Raw genomic sequence first — 4,027 nt, forward strand, 5'->3', positions numbered from 1 at the left:
TATTACACAGATATGTGAAATACTTTAGAAATTCCACTAAGATAAATGTGTTCCTTTCTATTTCATTATAAAAAGAAATTATTTTCAATTCTGGGCAACTAGGAGAAGGTGCACTTTAATAAAATATATGTTGCCTATTTGTTTAAGATATAGACTAAATAATATTTTTTAATTTACTTTTATGGTGTTTTTTTTGTTATTGTTAAAGACAATGTGTTCAAACCAGAATTTATGGGACATAAGATATTTTTTATTACTGGTCAAGTAGAATGGAGAATTTATTGTGTTCATTGATTTAAAACCTTGTTCACTGTCTCCTAAATCTTTAAGGGGAATTCAAAGAAAAATCAATCTCAAAACCAGTCTGGGAGAGATTAAATAATACAAGTATGACAATCTATTTAATAAATATGATCTAAATAACAATAAACAATTTGGTAAGAGCTTGCTTTCTGTGACCAACGGATAAAAATATTATTTTCTCCATTAATTAAAAAAATAGATCATAAAGAGGAGGGCCTTGAAGAACAGGGCAGAGTGTTTAGCTGAAGCAAAGAGCATGGTTTGATTTCAGTAGTTTGAGAGTAGTTAGCACTTTTGAAGATCAACAGTATTGTTTGGAGGGGGAGTAAAGAAAATTAATGTGCAAAGGGGAATATTGAAAGAAATGTATGAAAGTTTTGTTTCAGGCCCTATTGCAGAAAAAAAAAAGCTTTGAATTACTCATAATATATGACTATTCATAGGTAGATTTTCTACACTGTGAGTGAAATTTTAGATTCAGGGCCCCCCAATGGAGGGATACTAAAAATATATTCACAAAATTGTGTGGGTTTTTGGTTAATTTACAAAGGTTTAACATCTTTAATAACAATTGATTAGAATAGTGTATTTTTCCACTCTGATTTTCTCCTCTGTTGCATTTCTTCATATATTACATGATGGCAAAGTTATGAAATCCATACAAAAGGAAATTGAGTTGGGGATATATTCATTATTAATTTAAATTTTGTGTGTGTATGTGCATATGTGTATGTGTACATGTGTGGATGTAATCCTAATATATTGTCATGTGTGTATAACTTTCATTCCCTACTTACTTGCACTATTAGGCATGGTAAGATTTGTTCACATGTATATGTGACCTTTGACCCTACCAAATATGCATTATTTTTCCTATTCAAAATCCTATACTAAAAGAAAGACAAATATCTTCGTATTCTCTCTTTGGAAAGCTATGTAATAAAAATCTTTGCCAAATGAAAAAGGCAAAGAGTATCTAGTAAATGGAAAATATGTCATAGCTTCATATGAAAGTTTATTAATAAATATGAACAAATTTTTAGATTTTGTGATATTTGTTAGATTTTTTAATTTGTGTTTTTTTGTGAATTTCTATTTTTTCTCAAAAAATACATTTATACCTGATTTTAAGAAGATCCTCCTACACCATATAAGCTTCAGTCTCTAAAAATATGTAGATTTACTCTTGAAGTGAATTCAAGTTTGCTATAAGTTGTAGGTAATGTGGTGGTTTTTGATAAACAGAGTGTGTAATATAATCAGAATTTTGCTTCATAAAGTTATAAAGTGAATAGGATTTCCAGGAAAACTATAAGTTAGCAGAACAACTAGAAAATTATTAACTGTCCATACAGTAATTGATGGTGACTTAAGCTAGGATTGGAGTTATGGGAGTGCAAATTTGGGAATAAATAATTTGAATGTTACTCAGTAATATTGACAAGTCTAAGTGGTAGTTTAGTGGAATACTTAGAAAATTCCCCTACATTCATTTTTGTTATTCAGATGGATTATTAAGATAATAGAGCATAAAAGGCTTTAAGTGTTTGAAAGTATATTCAATAATCATATTAGTTTCCTTGTTGTTAAAAACTGTTTACTTTGCTATGATAAGAACTCTCTGTCTCACTGAAATTAAATCTAAATAAATATATTTAATAAAAAAATCTTTTGTCATCTTCATCCTCAAATCTTATTTCTGCTTTCATAGACTGATGTTGAGTGCCTGGGGCTTTTCAAGGAGCATAGTGAAAGCTGTTGGTGGATCTACCATTCTAGGGTGTGGAGGATGGTGGCCCTCTCCTCCCAGCTCCACTAGGCAGGGGATAACTCTGTGGAAACTTCCCAGTGGGAACTCTGTGAGGAGGTTCCAATCCCACATTTGACCTTCTGTATTCCCCTAATAGAGGTTCTCCATGAGGGCTCTGCCTCTGCAGCAGACTTCTGCCTTGACATCCAGGGGTTTCCATACATCCTCTGAAATCTGGACAGAGGCTCTTTATTAGTCCATTCTCACACTGTTATGAAAAGGTACCAGAGACTTGAAATTTAAAAAGGAAAAAGGTTTAATTGACTCACAGCTCCACATTGCTGGGGAGGCCTCAGGAAACTTATAATCATGACAGAAGGCAAAGGATAAGCAGGCACCTTCTTCACAGGGTGGCAAGACAGAGTGAATGACTGCCAGAAGGGAAAATGCCTCATGCTTATAAAACCATCAGATCTTGTGAGACTCACTTACTATCAGAATAACATCATGGGGGAAACCACCCCCATGATCCAATTACCTCCATCTGGTCCTGCCCTTGACACATGAGGATTATGGAGATTATGTATATTACAATTCAAGATGAGATTTTGGGTGGGAACACAGCCAAACTGTATCAGCTCCCAAGGCTTAACTCTTGCTCTCTGTGCATTTGCAGGCTTAATATGACATGGAAACCACCAAGGCTTATGTCTTGCATCCTCTCTAGCAGTGGCCTGAGATGTATTTGGGGCCCTTTTAGCCACAACTGAAGCTGGAAGTGGCTGGGACTCAGAGATCAGTACCCTAAGGTTGAACAGAGCAGGGGGACCATTCTTCTCTCCTAGGCATCTGGGCCCAGTATGAGAGGGACTGCCATGAACATTCCTGAAATAGCTTTGAGGCATTTTTCTTATTGTCTTGGCTATTAACATTCATCTTCTTTCTACTTATTCAAATTTTGGTAGCCAGCTTGAATTCTTCCCCTGAAAATGTGTTTTTCTTCTCTACCATAAGGTCAGTCTGCAAATTTCCCAAACTTTTATGCTCTGCTTCACTTTTAAATAATTTCCAATTTCTGAACATCTCTTTGCTCATGCATATAAGCATACACTGTTAGAAGCTGCCAGGTCACATTTTGAACACTATGCTACTTAGAAATTTCTTCTACCAGATACCCTAAGTTATCCCTCTCAAGTTCAAAGTTCTACAGATCTCTAGGCCAGGGATACAATGCCTCCAACCTCTTTACTAAAGCACAACAAAAGTAACCTTTGCTCCATTATATGGTTTGATTCTGTGTCCCCACTCGAATCACATATTGAGTTGTAATCCCCATATGTTGGAGGAGGAGCCTGGTAGGAGATGATTGGATCATGGGGGTGGATTTCCTTGTTGTTGTCCTCATGATAATGAGTAAATTTTCACAAGATCTTATGTTTTAAAAGTGTGTGGCACTTCCCCCTTCTCCCTCTCCCTCCTGCTTCATAATGGTAAGATGTGCTTGCTTCCCCTTCACCTCCTGCCATTTGTAAGTTTCCTGAGGCCTCCCAGTTATGCTTCCTGTTAAATCTGAAGAACTGGGAGTCAATTAAACCTGTTTTCTTCATAAAGTACTCAGTCTCAGGTACTTCTTTATAGCAGTGTGAGAATGGACTAATACACTCCAGTTTCCAATAAGTTCTTCATTTCCATATGAGACCTCCTCAGCCTTTTGCTCACAGCATTTTAACAAGCATCTAGAAAGTTCCAAACTTTCTGTCAACTTTTTGTCTTCTTCTGAGCCCTCCAAATCTTCCAACCTTTGCCCATTACCCAGTTCCATAGCTGCTTCTACATTTTCAGGTGTCTTTATAGCAGTATTCCACTCATGGTACCAATTTACTGTATTAGTCCATTCTCACAATGCTAAAATGAAATAACTGAGAAATGGTAATTTATGAAGAAGAGGTTTAATTGGCTCTTGTTTCCACAGGC

General features: G+C 35.7%; 1 annotated feature.

Moving 5' to 3' along the window:
- Positions 2,697-3,198: an enhancer, noted in NCBI's record as "NANOG hESC enhancer chr11:37913389-37913890 (GRCh37/hg19 assembly coordinates)". NCBI's record gives its function as "activates a minimal SCP1, AML or CMV promoter by ChIP-STARR-seq in primed H9 embryonic stem cells {active_cell/tissue: H9 hESC(primed)}" and the evidence as "EXISTENCE:reporter gene assay evidence [ECO:0000049][PMID:30033119]".

The sequence above is a fragment of the Homo sapiens genome, chromosome 11 (genome assembly GCF_000001405.40).
Source record: "Homo sapiens chromosome 11, GRCh38.p14 Primary Assembly".
NCBI lineage: Eukaryota > Metazoa > Chordata > Mammalia > Primates > Hominidae > Homo > Homo sapiens.